This window comes from Homo sapiens, chromosome 5, assembly GCF_000001405.40.
Source record: "Homo sapiens chromosome 5, GRCh38.p14 Primary Assembly".
Classification (NCBI taxonomy): Eukaryota; Metazoa; Chordata; class Mammalia; order Primates; family Hominidae; genus Homo; species Homo sapiens.
In genome coordinates, this window is record NC_000005.10 from 124973832 (window position 1) to 124998208 (window position 24377).

The 24377-nt window shown below is 40.0% G+C and overlaps 1 long non-coding RNA gene across 2 annotated transcripts, besides 3 other annotated features; it reads right to left on the bottom strand.

Annotated features, from left to right (window-relative positions):
- Positions 6026-6680: an enhancer, noted in NCBI's record as "OCT4-NANOG-H3K27ac hESC enhancer chr5:124315550-124316204 (GRCh37/hg19 assembly coordinates)". NCBI's record gives its function as "activates a minimal SCP1, AML or CMV promoter by ChIP-STARR-seq in naive H9 embryonic stem cells {active_cell/tissue: H9 hESC(naive)}" and the evidence as "EXISTENCE:reporter gene assay evidence [ECO:0000049][PMID:30033119]".
- Positions 6681-7334: an enhancer, noted in NCBI's record as "OCT4-NANOG-H3K27ac hESC enhancer chr5:124316205-124316858 (GRCh37/hg19 assembly coordinates)". NCBI's record gives its function as "activates a minimal SCP1, AML or CMV promoter by ChIP-STARR-seq in naive H9 embryonic stem cells {active_cell/tissue: H9 hESC(naive)}" and the evidence as "EXISTENCE:reporter gene assay evidence [ECO:0000049][PMID:30033119]".
- Positions 13734-22307, bottom strand: LOC105379158 (uncharacterized). 2 transcript variants are annotated; one of them, XR_948728.4, is made up of 7 exons: positions 22138-22265; positions 21719-21935; positions 19697-19875; positions 17230-17307; positions 15517-15705; positions 14944-15172; positions 13734-13826 (listed from the first exon to the last, which is right to left on the bottom strand). It is a non-coding gene; the product is annotated as an uncharacterized LOC105379158 (long non-coding RNA). The 2 variants fall into 2 exon arrangements; XR_001742529.2 differs by having other exon boundaries at positions 13739-13826; positions 19697-19872; positions 22138-22307.
- Positions 21125-23406: an enhancer, noted in NCBI's record as "VISTA enhancer hs1375". NCBI's record gives its function as "enhancer in: neural tube[5/5] | midbrain (mesencephalon)[5/5]" and the evidence as "EXISTENCE:transgenic organism evidence [ECO:0001131][PMID:17130149]".

A 24377-nucleotide genomic window follows, 5' to 3' on the forward strand; every position in this document is an offset into this window, starting at 1 on the left:
AGGGAAGGAAAAAAACCTTTCCCCCTACCGCCTAAGTCAGGCCCTGTAAATCTGACTCACAAAAGACAGATTAACATGAGAAAAAAATAAGTTTATTTAATGTAAGTTTTATATGACACGGGTCTTTATAAGGAAATGAAGACTTGAAGAAACAGTTAAGCCTTCTCACTTTCATACTAGATTTGATGTGCAGAAAGTCATGGAAAAACATGACAGGACAAAAGCTTTTGGGCTAAGGTTAATAACCTGGTGGAAACTTAGCAAGGCCTGTTCATTACTTTCCTCGTGGCATCCCTCCATCTTCAGAGATAGGAGTGCTCATTTTCTGGGAGTACAGGGAGGGCTCCTCTCACAGGAGGGTTCTGTGATCTGCTTCAGGGAAAAGAGGGAGGTCAGTCCTTTCAACACCTGCCATTTCTCAAATTCTGTTTAGAATATGCAGTATGTCAAGTTACCAAATTTGGGGGCAACATATTCTGAACCTCATCAACAGATAAAGCAGAAGTTACTTAAAGTGACTCTCCCAGCTTACTTTAGCTTTGTCTTAAGAATCAGCTGCAAAGACATCATCAACCGAAAAGCAAATATTCAATCAATAAGTTTCAAAGAAGTTTAAAACAAGAAAAAAATAATGGTGAGGGTGTTCCCTAAATAAACAGGAGTTTCCCATTTGCCTAATTTGTTTCAAATTCTCTAAGGTGAGAATATAAGTTTCCCCCTCACTGCTTCATTATGCGGGTTACTACAGGAAGTGCTGCATCTTACTGTTAATTTGCTGATGTTAAATTAGCACTTATATGTCTCTTTCTTTGTAACTTTAACAGAAATAATCATCACGTGGAATTTTAGGTCATTGTTGTTTGAACTGTTTGTTTAAATTTAGGAATATTTTACCTTAAACTCTGGTCCTACTAGTGGGCCTATTCTTAGTATCGTTTGGCTTTTGTGTGTTGACCAAACCTGTATAAACTAAGTAAGTTTTATAGCTGAAAGTGTGCTTTCCAAAGTCAATTACTCTAGATTTTTCCCTACTAATATTTATATGACTTTGGAAATTTTACTCTTCAAAAGTACAGATTCATAAAAGAATCCCAGGGTTTGTTCTGGGAGACATGGCACGTCAAAACCTGTCTCGTCAAGTTACCCACTTACCTGTTACCCCATATATTGCCCACAGAAATATGCCATGTGAAGCCACTAGGATTATTTTTACTTTAGGTCTTCAAGACAAATTTATATTTTGTGGCTATGAAGAAAGTTAATGTTCCATCCATCTGTTCTTCCTGGCTAACCTGCTGTTCCTTCCCAAATACCTATGCCTGATTTTCAAGAGCCTTTACTACAAGTGCTCAGTTTTTGTGGGGAAAATAGCTTTTCAGAGAGTGGTGGAACAAAAAGATAATGTATTAATCATTACAAAGTAGTTCTCCTTAACTTTGTCCAGGTTAACATCAGATTTGTCTTTTGAAAGAGCATCTCTCAACCTAGTGTGTCTGGAATTGGTGGGTTCTTGGTCTCGCTGACTTCAAGAATGAAGCCGCGGACTCTCGCAGTGAGTGTTACAGTTCTTAAAGATGGTGTGTCCGTAGGTTCTTCCTTCTGGTGGGCTCGTGGTCTCGCTGGCTTCAGGAGTGAAGCTGCATACCTTCGCGGTGAGTGTTACAGTTCTTAAAGGCGGCGTGGACCCAAAAAGTGAGCAGCAGCAAAATTTATTGGGAAGAGCGAAAGAACAAAACAAAGCTTCCACAGTGTGGAAAGGGACCCGAGTGGGTTGCCGCTGCTGGCTTGGGCAGCCTGCTTTTATTCCCTTATCTGACCCCACCCACATCCTGCTGATTGGTCCATTTTACAGAGAGCTGATTGGCCCATTTTACAGAGAGCTGATTGGTCCATTTTCACAGGGTGCTGATTGGTGCATTTACAAACCTTGAGCTAGACACAGAGTGCTGATTGATGCATTTACAGTCCTTTAGCTAGACACAAAAGTTCTCCAAGTCCCCACTAGATTAGCTAGACACAGCACTGATTGGCGCATTTACAATCCCTTAGCTAGACACAAAAGTTATCCAAGTCCCCACTACATTAGCTAGACACAGAGCACTGATTGGTGTGTTTACAAACTTTGAGCTAGACACAGAGTGCTGATTGGTGCATTTACAAACCTTTAGCTAGACATAAAAGTTCTCCAAGTCCCCACCCAACTCAGGAGCCCAGCTGACTTCACCTAGTGGATCCCACACTGGGGCCACGGGTGGAGCTGCCCGCCAGTCCTGCGCCACGCGCTCACACTCCTCAGCCCTTGGGCGGTTGATGGGACCGGGCGCTCTGGAGTATGGGGCGGCGCCCATTGGGGAGGCTCGGGCCATGTGGGGGCCCACGGGGTAGGGGTATAGGGCATGGCGGGCTGCAGGTCCTGAGCCCTGGCCCATGGGGAAGCAGCTGAGGCCTGGCAAGAATTCAAGCACGGCGCACGTGGGCTGGCAGTGCTGGGGGACCTGGTGCAACCTCCGCAGCTGCTGGCCCGGGTGCTAAGCCCCTCACTGCCCAGGGCCGCTCTGAGTGTGGGGCCTGCCGAGTCCACCACCACCAGGAACTCATGCTGGCCTGTGAGCGCCGGGCAGAGCCCCGGTTCCTGTCCGCCCCTCTCCCTCCACACCTTCCTGCAAGCAGAGGGAGGCTGGCTCCGGCCTCAGCCAGCCCAGAGTGGGGCTCCTACAGTGCGGCGGTAGGCTGAAGGGCTCCTCAAGTGCGGCCAGAGTGGATGCCGAGGCCAAGGAGGTGCCGAGAGTGAGCGAGGGCTGCTAGCACATTGTCACCTCTCACTAGGGGAGTTGGGCCAAATTGACAATGGGGGTGGGCAAGCAAAAAATGAACATATTAATGTTGGGTTTTTTATTTGTCTGTTTGTTTTTGAGGTAGGGTCTCACTCTGTCAGCCAGGCTGGAGTGGATAGTAGCATGATCATAGCTCACTGCAGCCTCGACCTCCCAGGCTCAAGTGATCCTTCCACCTCAGTCTCCCGAGTAGCTGGGACTACAAGCATGCACCACAATGCCTATCTAATTTCTGTATTTTTTGGGAAGACAGGGTTTCACCATGTTGCCCAGACTGGTCTCAAACTCCCAGGCTCAAGTGATCCTCCTGCCTTGGCCTCCCAAAGTGCTGGGGCTACAGGCATGAGCCACTGTACCTGGTGTGTTGTTAATTGGAACGCCATTAGGCTGAGATGCCTTCTGTACCTTGGGTTCCTAGGTAAAAAAACCAAAACCCAATTCAACGTAAACAATAAATGAAACTTAAACCTAACCAATCAAAAACTGCCAACTAACCTCTAACTAGGATTCCAAATAAGGCAAATGCCTACCTGTAGCCAATCAAATAATTTGTTTACTCTGCCTCTGAGCTCAGCCTATAAAATCCTGCCACTCATGTTGCTGAAGCAGAGCTCTCTGAACCTCTTCCAGGTTTGAGTGGTGTCTGGTTCATAAATCTTTAATGTTCATATAAACTGTGTTAAATGTATTTTGTCTAAAGTTTTTCTTTTAAGAGTGCTAAAGAAAAAAGTATTGTGACTTGTTAAAACAATAAGGTAGACTTTAGTCAGGACTATTGCAATAGATGTAGGGATTATTGCAATAGATGTAGGGACTGCTATGGGGTTTTGCAGTGGGGAAATGAGATTGGCTTCAACTCCACATACAACAAAACAGAGTGGGAATTTACAGCGAAGGAGTAGAGGTAGGGGAGGAAGGGGTTCTGTATAGAAAATTGTTATGAGGGTAGGCTAATTTTTGCTAAACTGCCCTAACAGGATTCTTGCTGAAGTCAGGCCAGGGTGATCAGACACCATCTGGAAAATGATGGGGAATGAGGAATTTGGTCAGATTATAGAGGGTTATCAGATATCAAGGGTGAAAGATTCTGGCTGAACTGACTTGATAGAATTCTTGCTAAAACTGGGCTCCTGAGGGCATGCCCAGCGACAGGGCCTAATTGAAAAATAGAGCTCAAAGGAGCCACACTTGGTCAAGGAGGTAGTCTTTGTCATTAGCACATTTTGAAATACCAATTTGCCTGTTATGTCAATGATAAATGTGGTGTCTTTCTCAGAAACTGGAGCAATATAAAGAAACATGAGCAGGTGCTGTAGCTCATGCCTGTAATCCTAGCATTTTGGGAAGCTGAGGCAGGGTGATTTCTTGAGCCCAGGAGTTCGAGAGCAGCCAGAGCAACATAGTGAGACCTTGTCTCTACAAAAAAATTAAAAATTAGCTGGGTGTGGTGGTGCACACCTGTAATCCCAGCTACTCAGGAGGCTGAAGCAGGAGGATCACTTGAGCCCAGAAGTTTGAGGCTGCAGTGTGGTGTAATCACACTACTGCACTCTATCCTGTGCAACAGAGTGAGATCCTGTCTCAAAAAACAAAAACAAAAGCAAAAAAACAAAGAAATATAAATGGCTCTTACCCCTTTTTAAAAATGAGTTTTGGAATTTTCTCATTTTAATACAATGAACACACATTACTCTCACAATAGCAAATGTTAGGAACAATCTTTTTTCTTCACAAATGGAAAGCTTTTGTCAAAGAACCATCTTTAAAAGCAAAATATGTTTAAGAAAAACAGCAACAACTTCCCAAGAAAAGCTTTCGGTCTTCAATTCTACGTCTCATCCCATTTCTCTTATAATTTTTGCACATTGATAGGAATAATTTTTGAAAGGTGATAGGATGAGAAAGTGGATAAGAGTATGAAAATTCTGGAAGATATGTATTTACTTTTTTAAAGAAAAAAATAGTATGGAATATAGGTGGGGCACGGTGGCTCATGCCTATAATCTCAGCACTTTGGGAAGCCAAGGTGGGAGCATCACTTGAGCCTACAAGTTTGAGAACAACCTGGGCAACATGGCGGAAACCCCATCTCTCCAAAAAATACAAAAATTAGCCGGGCGTGGTGGCATGCGCCTGTCGTCCCAGCTACTTGAAGGGCTGAGGTAGGAGGATCCTTTGAGCCTGGGAAGCGAACGTTGCAGTGAGCCATTTTGCCACATGCACTCCAGCCTGGGTGACAGAGTGAGACCCTGTCTCAAAAAAGAAAAAAAGGAAAGAAAAAAGAAATAAAATAGTATGGAATAGAGCCTCAAGTGTTCGCAGGGGACCATCTCTCTAACTGACGTGCAGAACAGGCTTAGCCATGCGAAATAGATGTGAGTTCAGATCCCAGACAAGACATCAAGGTTAGTTACAGGAGAGTGTCGGGAGGAGGATTCAAGGAAGAACTCAGAGTGGCCAGAATGCTTGTTTAAAGAGGAGCAGAAATTATCTGATAAACTGCGTAAACTGCTTGTCAGCTTTACAATGTAAATGAAACTATTAGCAAGGTGAAAAGCTGACATCTGCTTGCAGGACAAATCAAGTCAAATAATTATTTTTTAGATTCACTTATGCTAGAAAGCAGACGTTTACTTCCTAGTCTCTAATACTGACCAAGTCACCACACCCTCTTGGAATGTTTACTGGGGCTGAGTGAGTGGAAAGTGAGGGATGGGAGGAGGAAGGGGGATGGGAGGCTGACAGTCTCTCAGCATTGCCTTCAGGCTTTCTGTTAGTATTACCAGACATTTGAAATGGGTGACACAATGAGGATTTACACAGAAGGAAGAACTGTTTGCTTCTCTCTAGGCCGCAGAAGCTTCTGTATCTCAAAATTATTATTCCAAAATGATTTTGCTTTCCATTTACCCACAAGGACCTGACCCAAAAGGTATTTAGTTTTCAAATGAGCATACAAATAATTCAAAACAAAACAAGCTCTTAACAACAACAACAAAACCTTATTTAAAATCCCTGGAAGGCATCTAGTGAGAGCAGTATGTGACTGACGTGGTAAATTAGGCCTGCTGGAGAAAAAATCAAGACAAAATATGGATTCATTGTTATTTTGAAAGGCAGCCATCTTTCCAAGAGAATGTGTACACCACATTTTATTAAGAAATTACATCTTTCCCCATATTTTCCTTTTCTCTTTCACATGCTGGCAATGGCAAGCAGGTTGAGCAGATGTGATAAAAGAATTAATACCAGTCTTGGGAACACGTAGACGAAATATTTCTTTTGAAATACCTACCTTTAAATTCCATTAGTTCAATCTGATACTGAAAGAGCCTGGATTAGGGAAATGATTTACACAGCACAGGTTGTTTGTCCAGACTTAGAGCCCTTTTGTAATATGAAAAACGTGAAGATGAATTTAATATTTCTCCAATGAATTGGCACAGGGTTTAAAATCTTGCTTTGACTGAGATAATTGCGTTTGTTTTAGTGTTAATAAATTCACCTCGGTGAGAATTTTTCTTTTTTTTTCTTCTAGATTCATTCATAGCTGCTACACATTCATCTCTATATAAAACCTACTCTCCCCTCTGAAAAAGCAGCATAACCAGTCAACGAACAAGTATATAGGATTAGCACATTATGAAGAATAAAGAGAAGCTTTCAGCTCTCCGTCATGGATGATATTTATCACATTTTCCACGACTGGCTCTAATAACAGTGCAGAGATAAAATAGGCTTGATGCATCTTTCCTGTACAGAGAATTTTACAACAGCAACTGTAAGAAATTCAGGAGATGAAACACTTCTCCCCTCTTGCAGTTTTTATTAGTCTTAAAAATGGGAGGTGGGTGTGTGGGGGAGACTGTTTCTACAAAAGTGGGCTTGAATTTTCTGTCTGTTATGCTAATGTATTCATAGAAAAAGCTGGTGCTGAGGGCGGTTCTCCAATTAAGACAAATGAGGCACATTGAATTTCTCCCCCAGGGCACAGCAGGGGTGCTGGCAAAATCTACTTTATTCTTTTCTGTCAGGACTGAACTGGAAACAAAAGCATGAAAATTCAACACATCCACTTACAGAATAATAAAGGCTGTTGTTTAAAGCGTGAAGAGTTTTGGCACCCTTCTGGGGCCTTATGCAAATCGCTCTTCCTCTCAACTGCTACCACACCATCGGTCTTGGAAATTAAAGATGTACTTGGTCGGTTAACAGCTGAAAGGAGAAGAGCAGCCTGAAACTCAATTAGATTTGTATTAAGCAAATAAATCAGGACTGACTGATATTGGCTAAACTAAAATGCATTATGGGCTGACAGTAATTCTAATTTGATGGACAAATATATGTAGTGTGTTATTAACCTAAATGAAAGATGAGAATCCTTTTTTTTTCTTTTTAAAGGATTTTGTTCTAGTAAACAATCCGCTCTCCCTCTGAACTTACACAAAACAATAAACAGAGACTACTGGTATGGTTCTGTTTACAATCCATGCTCAAGAACACAGGAAATCTATTTTCTATTACGTGGTTAGAGTTTGAGACAAAATTATTGTGCTGAAAGACATTTGTTTTTATCGATTTATTTGGTGTAATGTAACATCTCAACACATTATTTATTTGGTACACCAAGCACGCTATTTTTATTATGGTGAGTAACACAAAAGCATAGACCTGGTATATGTCTCATTATTTATTCGGAACCCTGTAGTATAGGAGGCTTTTCCACACCAGGGCACATACAAAGGGGCCTCAAATATGGTTCAAAGTCATAAATGAAGATTTCAATAAAATCCTCCAAAGCTTTGAGGAAAACAAAAAACACTCAACAAATAGCATAAACGTGTTGGTGTGTGTGGTTGGATAAGACATTTCCTTTGAAAGAAGAGTTTTGGGAGTTTCAACTTACTTCCTTGTCTTTGCTGTTTACACCTTTAGAACTTACAGAAATGGCCAGGTGTGGTGGCTCACACCTGTAATCACAGCACTTTGAGAGGCTGAGGCAGGAGGATGGGTTGAACACAGGAGTTTGAGATCAGTCTGGGCAACATGGAGAAATCCTCATCTTTAAAACATACTTTTTGACAAACTTAGCCACGCTTGGTGGCACATGCCTGTGGTCCCAGCCACTCAGGAGGTTGAGGCAGAGGATTGCTTGAGCTTAGCAGTTCGAGGTCGCAGTCAACTATGATCACACCACTGCAATCTAGCCTGGGCAACAGAATGAGACCCTGTCTCAAAAACAACAACGAGAAAAACCTTACAGAGATTTAGGTCATTACATTTAACATCCTGCTAAATTAATAATTAACTAGTAACTTAATACTTTTGCTTTGGTTGTAACTATGTTCTATTTTCGTCACCTTTTCCTTCTGGCTATCAGATTAAAGACTCATTGACTCACTGTTGTCTTTCAATTATCTTTCCTTCTACATTTCCTACCTGGCTCTTCTTGCCAAATCCTGCTGCGTTTTGCTCTGCATAGGTGCCAGAAATTGTCTATTTCTCCCCTTCAAAACTTGTCCAAACCTTTGCCCCTGTGTGGGCAGCTTCCTGCCGCAGCTCTTGCCAGTACCTGTTCTCATATCTCCTTGTTGGGGCTCAGAAAGCAACACCCCAAAACATGGTGCTTTGGCACTGCTGAGCACTTTGAACTGGAGATCAGAAGGCCTTAGAAGCTGCTTCAGAAGCAAAATCTCTGACCTTCTCCTGTTCTCTCGTCCTCTCCCTCTCCTTCTCCTCCAAAACAAGTTATAGAGTCTAGAATTTCTCTTCCCCAAGGCAGGTTATAGAAACTAGATCTCCTCTCCCCAAAAAGCAAGCCATAAAGAAGACCCTCATTCCAAAGGAGTCCTTCCCTGTAGCCAGGAGGAAGGAATGCCACACAGAGAGGCCAAGGTGAATTGGAACAGACAGGGATTGCTGGGTTTTCACCCCTACAGTCTATTACCACTAGATCATTCCCTTTGTCCAGTCACATTTCTACGTGGCTGTCTATTCTTCATTGAATCTAAGCATAAAAACAGACAATTTTCCCTCAGTCTTTGACTCCTCATATCTCAAAGTTTGAGATATGAAGACTCAATCTTTGTCATGTAAAACTTGATTATATCAAGTAACTTTGTTATGCCTTTTTTTTTTGAGTTGGAGTCTCGCTGTGTCGCCCAGGCTGGAGTGCTGTGGCGCGATCTCGGCTCACTGCAAGCCTCGCCTCCCAGGTTCACGCCATTCTCCTGCCTCACCTCCCGAGTAGCTGGGACTACAGGCACCCGCCACCACACCTGGCTAATTTTTTTGTATTTTTAGTAGAGACGGGGTTTCACTGTGTTAGCCAGTGTGGTCTCGATCTCCTGACCTCATGATCCGCCCGCCTTGGCCACCCAAAGTGCTGGGATTACAGGTGTGAGCCACTGTGCCCAGCCTGTTACGCCTTTTTCTGGTTAAGCTTCCCCCACTCCCCACCTTTTTTTTTGTTTCAGAGGGTATATGTGCAGATGTATTACATGGGTATATTGTGTGATGCTGAGATTTAGGGTACAGATGGTCTTGTCACCCAGGCAGTGAGCATAGTACCCAATAGGTGGTTTTTCAGCCCACGCCCCCTTCCCTTCTCCTTCTAGTAGTCCTCAGTGTCTATTGTTCCCTTCTTTGTGTCCATGTGTACTCAATGTTTAGCTCCTACTTGTGAGAACACACAGTATTTGTTTTTCTGTTCCTGTGTTAATTCATTAATTCACATAGGATAATGGCCTTCAGCTGTATCCATGTTGCAAACGACATGATTTTTTTCTTTCTTATGGCTGTGTAGTATTCCATGGTATATATGTACTGTCTTTTGTTATAGGAGTGTTGGCCATGACCCTTATGATGGATGAGGAAAGGGATCATACCTTTCTGTCCCACATCCTCTACTGAACATATCAAAGATTCTTGGCCAAAACCAATTTTCCCTGACACTCTGTCTCAACTGTTCTTTCCCATTATAATTGGTGTTGATATGGACAGGAGGCAGAGAAATACTAGGTAGAAAAGGGTGGGGCTTCTGGCAAGTGTTCTACCCCCAAGCCTGGACCCACGTCCCTAAATGAGAACTTCACATCCCTGTTTTTCTGCGCAAATATTACCTTATGTGCTGCCACCCTCACATCCTGTGTCCATAAAAACTCCAAGCTCCACTGGCAGAGGAGCCCAGTGGTGTGGCAGAAAAGGAGAGAAGAGAAGAGGCAGCTGGACATTGGAGACTACAGTCAGAGAGGAGTTTGGCTGTCTCCAGCTGAACTCCAGGGGAAGATTATCTTCCTACTCCATCCCCTTTCCAGCTCCCCATCCTACTGAGAGCCACTTCCACTGCTCAATAAAATCTCCACATTGATTATCCTTCAAGTCTGTGTGAACTGATTCTTCCTGGATGCTGGACAAGAACCCAGGTACCAAGAGGGCAGGGTGTAAAAGCCTGTCACCCTGATCCTCCACTGACCTGGTTTAACACTTAGCCATCTGTGGATGGCAAATGCTAAAAGATCATTGTAAGACATGCCCTCTGGGGCTCTAGAGGTCACTAGCAACCCCTAGACACTGCCATGGGCCAGTACCAGGTTCGTTCCTTGCTCCTGCACCTGCCAACCTGCAAGCTTCCCCTCCTGTAAGGAGTTTGAGTGCGGTGGCCGAGCAAAGGAGACACCCCTGTTGCAAGTCCCATGAGGGGGTCAAGGGAACTCTCCCGTCTCAATATTCCTCACTGATAATGAGAGCAAAGAACACCATAGAATGAGACTTCATGAATTGCCATCAAGTTTTGCACACAGTTACTTTCATCCCAGATTAAAGTCTCTCTTTTTAGCTTTTCCAACAGTTGTCATCTCAGACCACTCAACTGCTGCTCTCACTTCTCTCTTCTCCTTCCTCTGCAGAGCTGGCCATACTCTTTTTTTTTTTGTCACTCTTTTTTTGTTACATTTTTGCTTGCTTTCTTGTCATTTCCTTTAAAATTCATCAACAAAATTAGTTTATTAAACTTTGATATCCATCCCAGTACTCATATATAATTTGATAGTGACAATCCTTCCACTTATTGTGAGTTTAGAATAACTTTGTTCTATAATATTGATTAGGTTCAGGGCACACTAACCCAAAATATGGCACCTTGGCATATTGAATATTTTAAGCTGAAAGAATCTGAGAAATTCCCTATGCTGGAAGGACTTTCTGACTTTCCCTAAAGCAGGTCATGTGAGAGGTGCCCTCCTTATACCTGGAGGAAAGGAGCATCCATATCTCCAAAGACACAGGGATGCTGAGAGGAATCTGAATGGACAAGCCTTGTCGTTTCTCCTAGTTTATTATAATTAGCACATGCCCATTTTATGCTATCATATTTCCCCATGACCGTCTACTCTTCATCAAACCTAGCATAAAGCAACCCAGTTTTAAGCACTTCTTTGGGTCTTCATTTCCTATTGAAGGCTCCAGTGTCACGCAAAACATACACATTTCTATGATTCTTTCTTTCTGTCTTTTGTTCCAGGGGCCCCAGCCAATGAACCTAAAATGAGTAAAAGATAAAGATGTTTTTCTCCTCCCCAACAATATTTGATTAATGCTTTTTCAGGTTTCAGACTTTTAGTTAACATTCTGTATTGTGAGATTACTTTTAAAAAATGAGATTCAATCTAATTTCTTAAATAAACTTGTGTATACCTCTTTGGTTGTTCATTTTGGTTTTTTATTCCATTTAGGAACAGTAATGTCATAGACTTTTGACATTCACTGGATGCCCATTCAATGGGCCTTCATAAATCTCAATAATTTTTTTTCATTTTAAAAAATCATGATAAAACACATACGACGTAAACTTTACCATTGTAACCATTTTTAAGTATACAATTCAGTGGCATTAAGAACATTCACAATGTTGTATGATGTGGTTCAGAACACACTGCCCCAAAATATGGCACTTTGGCATATTGAGTATTTTAAACTGAAGGAATTTGAGAAATAGGTGCTAGAAGGACTCTCTGACCTCCTGTTTTTCCCTTGAAGCAGATCCCAAGACCCTCATGTAAGAGGTGCCCTTGCTATACTCAGAGGAAAAGAGCATCCCTACCTCTGAAGAGGGAGGGATGCCGAGAGGAATCTGAATGAACAGGGCTTGTTGTTTTCCCCAGATTACTACCCTTAGCTCATAGCCTTTGTCCTATTACATTTTTCCATGACTTTTTACTCTTCCTCAAATCTAGTAGAAAAATGCACAGGCTTAACTGTTGCTTTGTCTTCATTTCCTTATAAAGTTTCCTTGGCCACATAAAACTTACATTAAATAAATTTTTACATATTTTTTCTTGTTAATCTGTCTTTCGTTAGTCTAATTTACAGGGTCCCAGTCAGATAACCTAAAAGGATAGAGACAAAGGATATTTTTTTTCTCTCCTACATGTGCAAGTATCACTGTTATTTCCAGAGCTTTTTTAAAATCTCAAATCATAACACTACCCATTAAACAATACCTCCCCATTCTTTCCTCCCAGCCTCTGGTAATCACGATTCCACTTCTTGTCTCTGTGAACTTGACTATTCTAGATATATAAGTGGAATCATACAATGTTGATTCTGTTGTGGCTGGCTTATTTACTTAGCGTAACAATAATGTTTTCAGGCTTCATCCCGTTTGCAGCATGTATCAGAATTTCCTTCCTTTTTTAAGGCTGAATAATATTCCATTACATGTATATACTGCATTTTGTTTATCCATTCATCTGTTGGTGGACATTTGGTTTGCTCCTATCATTTGGCTATTATAATAGTGCTGCTATGAACATGGGTGTACAAGTATCAGTTTGGGTTCTTGCTTTCAGTTCTTTTGGATATTGAATCTCAAGATTTGATAAGAAGTGCAGCATATGATTTTTCCAATAAAACTTACATTTTCCTTTTTCGACCCTTTCGTGTCTTCTTTCCAGTCATAACCCTTGTAGTTCATTTCCTCTGTGTGGCTATTTTCTGCCAAGAAATGCAGCTTTATATCCATTTGCGGGCAAAGGTAAGTCAAAACCAGCAAGGTGATAATTATTGTTCCCTTCCCACCACTGTGTACCTGTGCAACTAGTCTGCAAAGAGGAACATTGCCAAATTCTAGATCTGTGATCAATTACGCAATTTAAACCAAACTGTATCCTGCGGGGCATAAATTTCATACCTCAGACTCATACTCAAAGTATTTTTCTGCTTCTTACATTGCTAGGGAAGGGAGGGAAAGTAACACAGGAAGCCAGATGTGAGAGGACTAGATTGACACCTGGGTAATTAGAAGGCTTTGTTCCCTAAACCCCAGTTAAATAGTGTTGAACTATCACTCAGTACTAGCAGAAACAGTTTCCTTTTGCTTTTTTCTAAAACCAACTACTAAATAATATTAGGGTATCTTTGAAGCAATAATGTGTAATCACTTACAGTTCTTTTGAAGGGAATGTATTTAAGATTAAAAAAAAAAAAAAAAGCCCAAAGGCAGAGAGCTTTAAATAGTACCCATTTGGTAATAAATACCATTACTTCCCCTCTCCAACCTGCCCTACTCCCTCCCCCATAACGCTTAACACAAAGCTTCAGATTTAGTTTTGGAGAGAGTGAGTCTACATTCACTTGAAGAAAACTCTTGTTTTTCATTTGTTCTGTTGACTTCACTATATTTTAAAATATAAGTGTGTTGTGGAGAACATACTGAATTCTGAATTACTAAGTTGCATATCCATTTGTTGTAGAAGAGGATTTCAGTCCAACAGTAAAAGATTTTAGCTTGTCTCTATAGCAGGGGTTCTTGATCCCTAAGACAGGTAAAGATGAGATGAGAGGGAGAGAAGAGACACACACAGAGAGGCTTGTGATTCCTTGAGGGGCACTACTACTCACATCTCCTTTTGTTTTTCTTGCAGACATAGAGAAGGGATGGTGATGGTGATGGAGGGTCTCCAGGGGATTCACACGAGTTGTGGTGGCATCTCACTAGGCATTGACAAGGGAAAAAAATCCCACCCACATGCTTGGCACGCCTGGGCGAAGCCAGCAAGGACAGTCTCTAAAGTACCCTCAGATGGAAGTGTCCATGGAGCAGTTGTGATATGGTTTGGTTGTGTCCCTACCCAAATCTCATCTTGAATTGTAGTTCCCATAATCCCTATGTGTCATGGGAGGGACCTGGTGGGAGGTGATTGGATCATGGGGGTGGTTACCCCCATGCTGTTCTTATGATACTGAGTGAATTCTCACGAGATCTGATGGTCTTATGAGGGGCTTTCCCCCTTTGCTCGGAACTTCTGTCTCACCTGCCGCTATGTGAAGAAGGATGTGCCTACTTTCCCTTGCACTATGATTGTCAGTTTCCTGAGGCCTCTCCAGCTATGTGAAACTGTGAGTCAATTAAACCTCTTTCCCTTATAAATTACCCAGTCTCAGGCTGCTCTTTATAGCAGCATGAGAATGGACTAATACAAGTTGTCATCTAGACTAGTCTGCTCAAAGCTTGTCTTCAGTCAACTAGGTATAGTCCTGATTCCAAGTAGAAATAGCCAGGAGGTGGCCTAAGGGGCAAGGCATAGGGGCTATCTCTTCGGGCAGGTGGGAGTTCTGCCTCTTTCTAGTACCTCATGGGGCAGCTCTCCCAGCTCCTCTGTACCCTGAGGCCCCCAAATTGGCAGGTTGTTTTTTCTTAGTTCTCAACATCACATTTCTTTATTTCATTTCCCAAGATATACCTCAAATATAGACATTTTAAAAAGTGAATGCCCTCTCTGTGCATCTTAAGGGATTTTTCAGAGGTGTGCTCATACCCTTACTTCACACACACACACACACACACACACACACACACACAGTTCTATCAATCTATCTATCTACCTACCTGCCTATTGATCTACCTACCATCTATCGCCTCTCTATTGTCTACTTTTATCTAGGGAGAGCCCTGGCAGTGGTCAGTTAGTCAAAAATATTGCCAAGGTAGGAAAACGTGAAAAATGATATATATATACATTACACATCCATCCATCAATCTTTTTATGAAGGGATAAGGGCTATTCAACCTATTGAGAAATACAGCATAGTTTTTCTTGCACATACTTACAAATTAATGGTCTATAGTTTGCAGTTTTTGTTTCTTTCAAGTGAGGTGAGAGTGTATAGACAATGTGCAAGTAGAATCTTTCCAGATAAGTGATTCTCAAATGTTGGCATCTGGATTTCTTAGCTTCATCCCCAGAGTTTTAGGTTCAATAGATCTGGAGTGGGGCCTGAGAATTTGCATTTCTCACAAGTTTTCAGATGATGCTGATGCTGCTGGCCCAGGGATCACTCTGAAAACCACCATGGATTTTCATTATACTTTACAGAAAGCAAATATGTAACGTTTTATAGGGAGAAGAAAGAACATTGATTAATAGGAAAGTTGGTTAAGAGAAAGTAGGTTGAGAATGAATATAATTCTATCCCTATTTTATACACTTGATATACAGCAATCCTTGTTCACATACATTTTTTCCAGAACACTCTTAAATCTCACATAGGATATTGATAATGTGTTATAAATAGTTGAGTTTGCAGGGGGTAAAAGGAGATTCTTCCCGGAAATAAGAATGTTCTTTAAAACTTTTTCTCTCCACAATGATGGAAGTTAACTTCTCAGTGCTTCTTTACTTACCTGTAAATTGGCATGAACACAATTACATCATAGAGCTCTCCAGAAGACAAAAGGGGATAATATATAGTAGTTTTTCTCAGATGTTTTCACCATGATCTTTCGTGATAGGCGAGGGATTGGGAGAAACCCAAAGAACATATTAGAGAACAATTTCATTGAGGTCTTCTCTTTTGTATATTAAAAATGAATCTACAGGAGCCAAAAAAAGGAGAATACATATTTTGCCTTTTTTATCCATCAAAGATCCATTTGTTTTCATATAAAAATATTTCACACAACTTGACACTTAACCATGTTTATGTTTTGATTTCTGCTATGAAGAACAAGTACCTTAGTTTGAGAAACTTAGGGAAATGCTTTATAAACAGTAATGCATTACATAAAGTTTTTCTATTATTAGATTTTGTTTTATTTTGGCAAACGTGAGACACCCATAAGCAGATATACAGGCTTTGACATCTCATTAACAGATTCCTTATGCTGATGTTTGGATTTTAAATGATCAGACATATGATAAAGTCTTTTTCCCCCCAGATGTTGTCTACAGTGTTACAAATTTGCTTCTAAATTGTATTTCAGAGATACAACAAAGTCAAAGCCATTTTAAAAAGTGCAGTTGGCCCATGGATTTATTTATCTCTTAATAAAGTAATAGATGGTGGGGGCACGGGACTGTGAATTTGTAAAACAGGTAGCTAATGATTTCTGTGTTACATCATTGTTTAATCACTAGCATATTCAAAAATTTTAACTGTATATCTTATATTTACACATATGTACTGTTTTAATGCCATTTCTAACTAAAGCAAGCTGAAAAAATATATTCCCATTTATGGATGATCCATTTAACCATTATTTCTTGAACACTTACAGTATTAACATTTAGCTAGTTTCCATAAGGGATGCAGAGATATCTAAGACCCAATCCTCCATTTCTGCCCAGGCATGGTGGTTCACGCCTGTAATCCCAGCATTTTGGGAGGCCAAAGAGGGAGGATTGCTTGAGCCTAGGAGTTCCAGACCAGCTAGGGCAATAGAGCAAGACCCCCATGTCAAAAAAAAGAAAAAAAAATTCTCAATTTTTGAGAATTTCAGGAATTTTCCATTCTGTCAATTGACTGGATAGGTGCTGCACTTTTCCCACTTGCAAGTAGTAATCTACTTACAGCTAATAATCTTTAGCAGCATGGACAAAATAATTAGCTGGGCAGCTGTGGAGTCAAACAGTGAATCCCTACTCAGCCACTCCTTGGGTAGATGATATTGGGAAGATTATCTAACTCTTTCTGCTTGTCAGTGTTTCAATCATAAAACAGCATGGGGTCTTGTGAGAAGTGAAAATAATATATTTAAAGTATGAAACTCAGTGATCAACACTTAGGTCTTCCATCTCTGCTTCTTCCTACTTTCTTATCTACTAGCTTGAGTGCATGTGCTGGTCTGATTCCAGGACTGCTGGACATGTGAAGATGTCTGTCTTGGTTCAGGCCCAGATCACCATTCAGGGAGCTGTGACCATGAGGGCAGGAGTCACATAAATTGTCAAGGAAGAATTGCCTGTGGTGGTTCTTGTGGGAAGAGAGCAATGGACTTAGCTCCCATTTATGGTGCCACACCCTGCCCTGCTCACTGGTGAAAACTGAAAAGGGAAGACGGTCCATTTGTAGTTGAATAGAGCTCTAGGTTAACTTTATGATTTACCTGGGGACATACCATAGTTCTAGAGTTGGAAATCCACAGTAAGACTTTTTCCGTCATGAAATTTCCCCTTTGGATATTAGAAATGTTTCTCTATAAGAGAAAGCAAAGCATTAAACTAAATTTCTTTTCTGTTTTAATTTTTGAAAGACTCCAAAAGGCAGATGGGTAATTGACATATGCTTAGGAGGAGTTTATATGTACATTTTTTTGGGAAAAAATATCAATCTGAAGTGCTAATACTACACTTAAAGACATATAAATTATGCATTGATCCATAAAGATTATATTCTCAATGGCAGCTCCTCAGAAATGCATGGCCAAACCAAAGGCTCATACATATTTCAACCTATATAAATTAGATAATGTTACAAAAAGATTAGTGCTTAACATATACTTTGATTGTAGCCGTATTTCTTTCATACTCTTCAGAGACAAATGAGAAGCGTTAGGTTTGCCTGTATATGTTTTTGTGTGATATGTACATATAGATATATACACACATATATGCATATCAAATAGATACATATATTGATCTAACAATATACATACTAATTCAATAATTTCTCTTTTGTATTATTGGTACCAAAAATACCAGGAAACATTTATAAATTTACCAACATCTAAAAGTAGAGTGAGTGTTTTGAAATACATTTTTTATATATTGTTTTTACTTTATTTTCTTTACATTTGAAAGTCAGTATGAATAATAGCAATAGATTTTGACTTGCAGCCATTCACACCCAAAGCTCTTTGCCTAGAGCACCCCATTGCTATGATTTGGGTGTGATTCATCTCTGCCAAAACTCATGTTGAAATGTAATTGTCAGTGTAGTGCTATTTAGGGGTGGTAGGGCCTTTAAGAGGTGTTTGGGTCATGGGGGATCTGTCCACGTGAAGAGATTAATGCATTTCTTGCAGTATTGGGTTAATTCTCATGGGAATGTATTGGTTCCCACCAGAGTGGGTTGTTACAAAGCAAGTTTGCCTTTTGTGCTTTGCCCTCTCTTTGCACACACCTTCTCCTCTTCTGCTTCTCTGCCATGTTGTGATGCAGCATGAGGCCCTCACCAGAAGCTATGCAGATGCCAGTGCTGTGCTTTTTGGTCTTAGCCTTCAGAAGTCTATTAACCTATTTTCTTTATAAATTACCCAGTCTCAGATATTCTGTTATAGCAACACAAAATGGACGAAGACACCTATGTAATTATGGAACTGAAAGCAGGAAGGTCACAAATTACATTTATCAGTTGGCTTCCCTCTTGTGTGAGGCATAATAATACTCTTCCTCCCTCTTCTCTACTTGCCTGGCCTAAGTCTTGCTGGAATTTTGACTGATAAACTCAGATATAATTCCTGTTCTAATATCTCTTTTAAATAAAATATTAGGATTGGCTAGTCTATAAACCTGATTATATTGTACAGAATATAAACAAATTGTTTATCATTATTTAAATGTAAAACTTTTGGTCCTTTTTTTTTCTAAACAGTTTGTCATCAAAGTCTTTTTAAAACTTTTATTTTTTAAATTGACAAGTAAAAATTGTGTATATTTATGATGTACAACATGATGTTTTGATATACATTGTGGAATGGTTAAGTGAAGCTATTTAACATATGCATTACCTCACACACTTTTCATTTTATCTTTTTTTTGTGTGGTGAGAACACTTAAAATCTACTGTCTTAGCAATTTTCAAGTATACACTATATTGCTACTAACTATATTCACCATGAGGTACAGTAGGTCTCTTGAACTTACTCCTTTGGTCTAACTGAAATTTTGTGTTCTTTGACCGACAGCTCCCCATTGCCCCCACCCCCTAGCCTCTGGCGATCCATTTTACTCTCTGTTTTTACAAGTTCAGTTTTTTCTTAGATTCAGTATGTAAGTGAAGTCATATGGTATTTGTCTTTCTAAGCCTGGCTTATTTCCCTTAACATAATATTCTCCAGGTTCATCCATGTGTTGTTGCAAAAGACAGGATTATCTTCTTTTTCTTTCAAGGCTGAATAGTATTCCATTATGTATGTGTAACACATTTGCTTTATTCATTCATCCATTGTTGGGCACTTAGGTTGATTTGCTATATTGGCTATTGTAAATAGTACTGAGATAAACATGAGAGTGTAGATACTTCTTCAAAATACTGATTTCATACTTTTTGGATATATACCCAGCAGTGGGATTGCTGGATCATGTGGTAGTTTTGTTTTTAATATTTTGAGCAACCTTCATATTCTTTTTCATAATGGCTGTGCTAATTTACATTCCCAACAAGTGTATAAGGGTTCCCTTTTCTCCACATCCTAACCAACACTTGCTATCTTTTTTCCTTTTTGGTAATAGTCATTTTAACAGTTATGAGGTCAAATTTATTGTTGTTTTAATTTGCATTTGCTGAATGATTAGTGATGTTGAGCATTTTTTTCATATGCCTGTTGGTCATTTCTTTGTCCTCTTTTGAGAAGTGTATATTACCTGGGCCTGGTGGGGTTGAGAGAGGTGACAGCTCTGTTCCTGAAGTGGCTCAACAGTGGCTGCTTCTTGGGAGGGAGAAGAATATACATCTGGTTCTCCCTCCCTGAGGTTCCCCAGCAGGAATGGTTGTTTGATACCTCAGTAGCAAAAGATGCTGGTGTCCTCTCTGGAGCAGGCTGCTGGGGACCAGAGTAGTTCCTGTTACACGATTGGTATTGATAGCCTCTACCTCTTTGTTCCTAGCTGACTCCTGGTATCTCACGTATGCTAATGTCACCAGCAATCATTTCCTTTTTGTTTGTTTGTTTGTTTTTGAGACAGAGTCTCGCACTGTCGCCCAGGCTGGAGTGCAGTGGCGTGATCTCGGCTCACTGCAAGCTCTGCCTCCCGGGTTCACACCATTTTCCCGCCTCAGACTCCCAAGTAGCTGGGACTACAGGCGCCTGCCACCACGCCCGGCTAATTTTTTGTATTTTTAGTAGAGATGGGATTTCACCGTGTTAGCCAAGATGGTCTCGATCTCCTGACCTCGTGATGTGCCCGCCTTGGCCTCCCAAAGTGCTGGGATTACAGGCGTGAGCCACCGTGCCCAGCCTACCAGCAATCATTTCTATGTGAATATTCTCTATTTTTTTTCACTCTACTGTGTTGCTGCAGATTCTTTAGTAGGCCCTTGAGCCCTCTCAGTGCTATTTACGCTTGTGGATGGCTGTCTGCATTTCTTTTTTTGTGGGAGGATGAAGGCTGGTATCTCCTCCTTTACCATCCTGGTGGCGTCTCCTGTCATCAAGGTCCTGATGGGGATATAACATTACATTACATCTATGGGAAAATCAGATTTGATTTATAGATTTTTTTTCTCTATGGACGTAATATACCAATCTGCCTTTAGTTAAGAATTGTTTTGTTGGCTGATAATCAAGGGATTTCTGTTATCCACCAACAGCTAGTCTTTAAATGTAGACCTAAAAACATCTAAATATTCTTTTCACGATAATCTGAAATCTGGTAGGCAATGCACTAAATCTAATTATTTACAAATAAGGAGAAGTTACTTGCCAAATTTACAGTTTCCCATGTATGAAATTAATTTATATATGCCAAAACAGTTCTCCATATTGATTCTGGCATAAATGTTGCTGGCATAGCATTGGAATGCATGCATGAATATAAGAAAAAATTGATCATTAAAATCTAAGTTAAAAACAAAAATCTAGTGCACTCATTCTATTAAAGAACTTTCTTCTTTTTTTTTTCTTGGCAAGAAAAGTGTTTCTGAGAAGTTTTCTAAAAGCAGTAAGATACTCTCATTAGATAAAACAAGGTGCTGTGGTCTGGGGTAGCAATTTTGAATTTTTATCAAATGCAAGACTCATGTAATCCTTCCACAAAATGAACCACCGGGATAATTGGCTTAAAAGGTGATTCTCTTGCATTTCTTATGCAGACAAAAAATAGAGTGAACACTCAAAACATAAAAATAAATACTTGGCTGGGTGTGGTGGCTCACACCCAATATGTTGGAGGCTGAGGTGGGAGGATCACTTGAGTCCAGGAGTTTGAGACCAGACTGGGCAACAAAATGAAACCCTGTCTCTACCAAAAAAAATTAGCTGTGCTCAGTGGCATGTGCCTGTAGTCCCAGCTCGTGGGGAGGCTGAGGCAGGAGGATCCCTTGAGCCCAAAAGTTCCAGATTGCTGTAAGCTACAATTGAGACAGTGCATTTCAGCCTGGGTGACAGAGTGAGACCCTGTTTCAAAATAAAAACAAAAGCAAAAAAATGTTTGCCATGGATTTTATAATAAGGAAAGACTGAATCCCAGAAGCTATTTGTAAGGTTTTGAATATGTAGAACCCCCACAAATAATAGTGGTCAAATTCTTCAAATAGAATATGTATTCTTAATTATTGTGTCTGCTTAGATTCAGTTTAAATTGTTCCCACGTCATTAGAAAATGCCATGTTTACACAACAATGTAAGTTTTATTTATTTTTTTCCGTGTTGAACTGAAATTACTCACAGGTCACAGTTAGGAGAAAGAAAGAAACATCCAGATGGACTATCCTTTATTTTCTCAGCTGGACATTGTGTATGTCTATGGAATGTATCTGTGCAAATAGCATACTTCTACGTTCAGGAAGTGATATTTCAGAATAAGCTCTTGTAAAACAGTACTTTTTGTAGTTTGGGGTGAAGCCAAGGCAAAATTTAGATTTCTTCTGTTTCATAGATGAACTCTATAATAAACAAAACGAAGTCTATAAAGTCAATTTACAATATGGTTATTGTATGAGATTTGACATCACTGTAAAATATTACATTGGACAAAAATAATGCTGCTGAAAATACTTGCTGCCAGCAGCTCTTATAACTATAAGATAAGGCAACTGATAATGAATTCTTTTAACTTGGAATTCAAATCTCGGGACTGAATGTTACCCATTATTGGAGTTCAAAGGCAACTATCTCTAGAATTGTTCTTTTAATGCTTGTTGGATGGTTTTAGTTGTTCTTTTCTTGTAGGCACACAATTGTTGTCTTGATCTTTGTGATAAAAAGCGTTCTCTGGGTCTTTGTAGTGAACCCAGTTGGCTTGGTAACATGCCTGTAGTCAGAATTCCAAAGTGGGGAAACAAAGGCTTAGAAATTATTGGCTGAGAACTGTTTGTTCAGAACTGTGGGAATCTTACCCTGGCCTGTGGAACCAATGGTCTGTCTTCATTAGATCCACATTCATCCAGAAACTCCCCAATTCCTTGCCCTTTTGTCTTTTCCCAAACTAGAGCTTTAACCACAATAAAAACAAATGTGGCAACTTCTTTTGTAAATCAATTCCTACCAAAATTCCCAGTGTGCTGTAATTCTTCCCCTTCATGTCATCATTCCAAAAGCATGGCATTAGCTTATTCAATGTTACATTTATTTCCATAATAAGGATGTGTCAAGGGGCAAGACATTTAAAGGCAAAGCAAAAAAAAAAAAAAGCTTGCCTTTAGGCCTAATTGAATGGTGATGAGTTCGCGTCCCCCTGTCCATTGGCGTTCATTTTCCAGGGTTAATTAAACAAACAAATATAGTCCAGCAAGACTATTTTAGACTACATAGTTTAAAACATTCAATACAAGTTGAAGTACAATCCAGTAAAGTAAATTTCACCAACAAATGCCATATAATTGAAAGAGAAAACATAGCAATTTTACATTTTTTTTTTCTGAGTGTAAAGGTATTCTTAAACCAACTGACACTATGTCATCTGATTACACAATTGTGACTTGGAAATGCGAAGAATTTTCTTTTGTGTGTCTAAATAATGCGAGTTGAATTCCTCAGTGTTCTTATAAATACTTTAATTACACTGAAGCTTTATCAGCAGGGAGCCATGGGAAGTATGTAGGGCCCTGGATAAACATTTTTAAAAGCAAGAACTATTCAAGTTACACAAAAGACAGGACAGTCATAACAACAGCAGCAACGACAACCACAACAAACTGGGGAAGCTGTACTTTTTAGGAGAGGAGGATTGAATTGTTTTTCTTTTCTTTTTATGTCCCACTGTTGTTTTGGGGAAAATACCTAAAAAATGGGAAAGATGAAGCCTGAGCAACCGAAGGTACCGAAGAATTTTAAGTAGTGTCTTAGGAGAAAATTAAAAGGAAACCTGATTAACAGTGGTTCAGAGACATTGAAACTCCGTATATTCAGGCTTGGCTATTAGATCTAAAAAATAGAACAAGGGTAAGCATAACTCCTTTTAGGACAGCTTTAATCATCTTTGTTCAACTGTGATGGAATGCCTTACCAATGTGATAGTACATACTCACAGCCATAGGTCATTTTGTTTTCTCCATAATCCTAGTTACCATCTACATTTCCTCCTGAAATTTGCAGGTCCTGAGTAATATGGAATAAAAGTTTAATGTGGTTTGGCTTCAGGATTACAGGTCATAGCTATTAATTATTGACTGAGCAGTGCATGGCTTAATACAAGAAGGAAAATAATCAGAAAGAAATCATGCCACGTACCTTCACTGAAGCTTATGGTCTAGTTGTCTCTTTTTGCTCTGACTCTCAAGGGCTTAGCACCATTTCAACTGCATCGCTGCAAAGTTGATGAATTGTCATTGCCATATTTACCTTCCCTTTTCTTTGGCCTCCCTTCCTCCCTCCCTCCCTTCCTTCCTCCCTCCCTCCCTTTTTTCTTTTTTCTTTTGTATGTGTATTTGCTGTGTATGTATATGTATTTGTTGTATATGTATCTGTAGATGCTGTTTTGATTACATTCTGAAAATAGGTAGAAATTGGATAAATAGAAACATAGTAAGGAAAACACATTACATGTGGAAAATATTCAAACACATTCTTCAAGTAATGTCCAGATGGAATGCAGGCAGTGTGGTGAGGAAAGTGTAGGAGAATTGGGCTTTCTGTGGATAATGGGCACTTTCTGGGCCTTGGTTGTTTCATCTGTTTATTTTCTTTTTGACGAGATAATCTTTCAGCACCAACATTCTATCATTCAATAAAATGAGTAGCACTATGTGTCCCAAATAAGCAAACAAAACTTCATTTTCAGATTCTGTCTTTGAGTAGGTGAATTTTGAAAATTTTTCAGGTGCAGATTGTGGCTTAACTTACAGGTCCCCATAGTGGATGATCATCAAAATTGTAAAGTACAGATG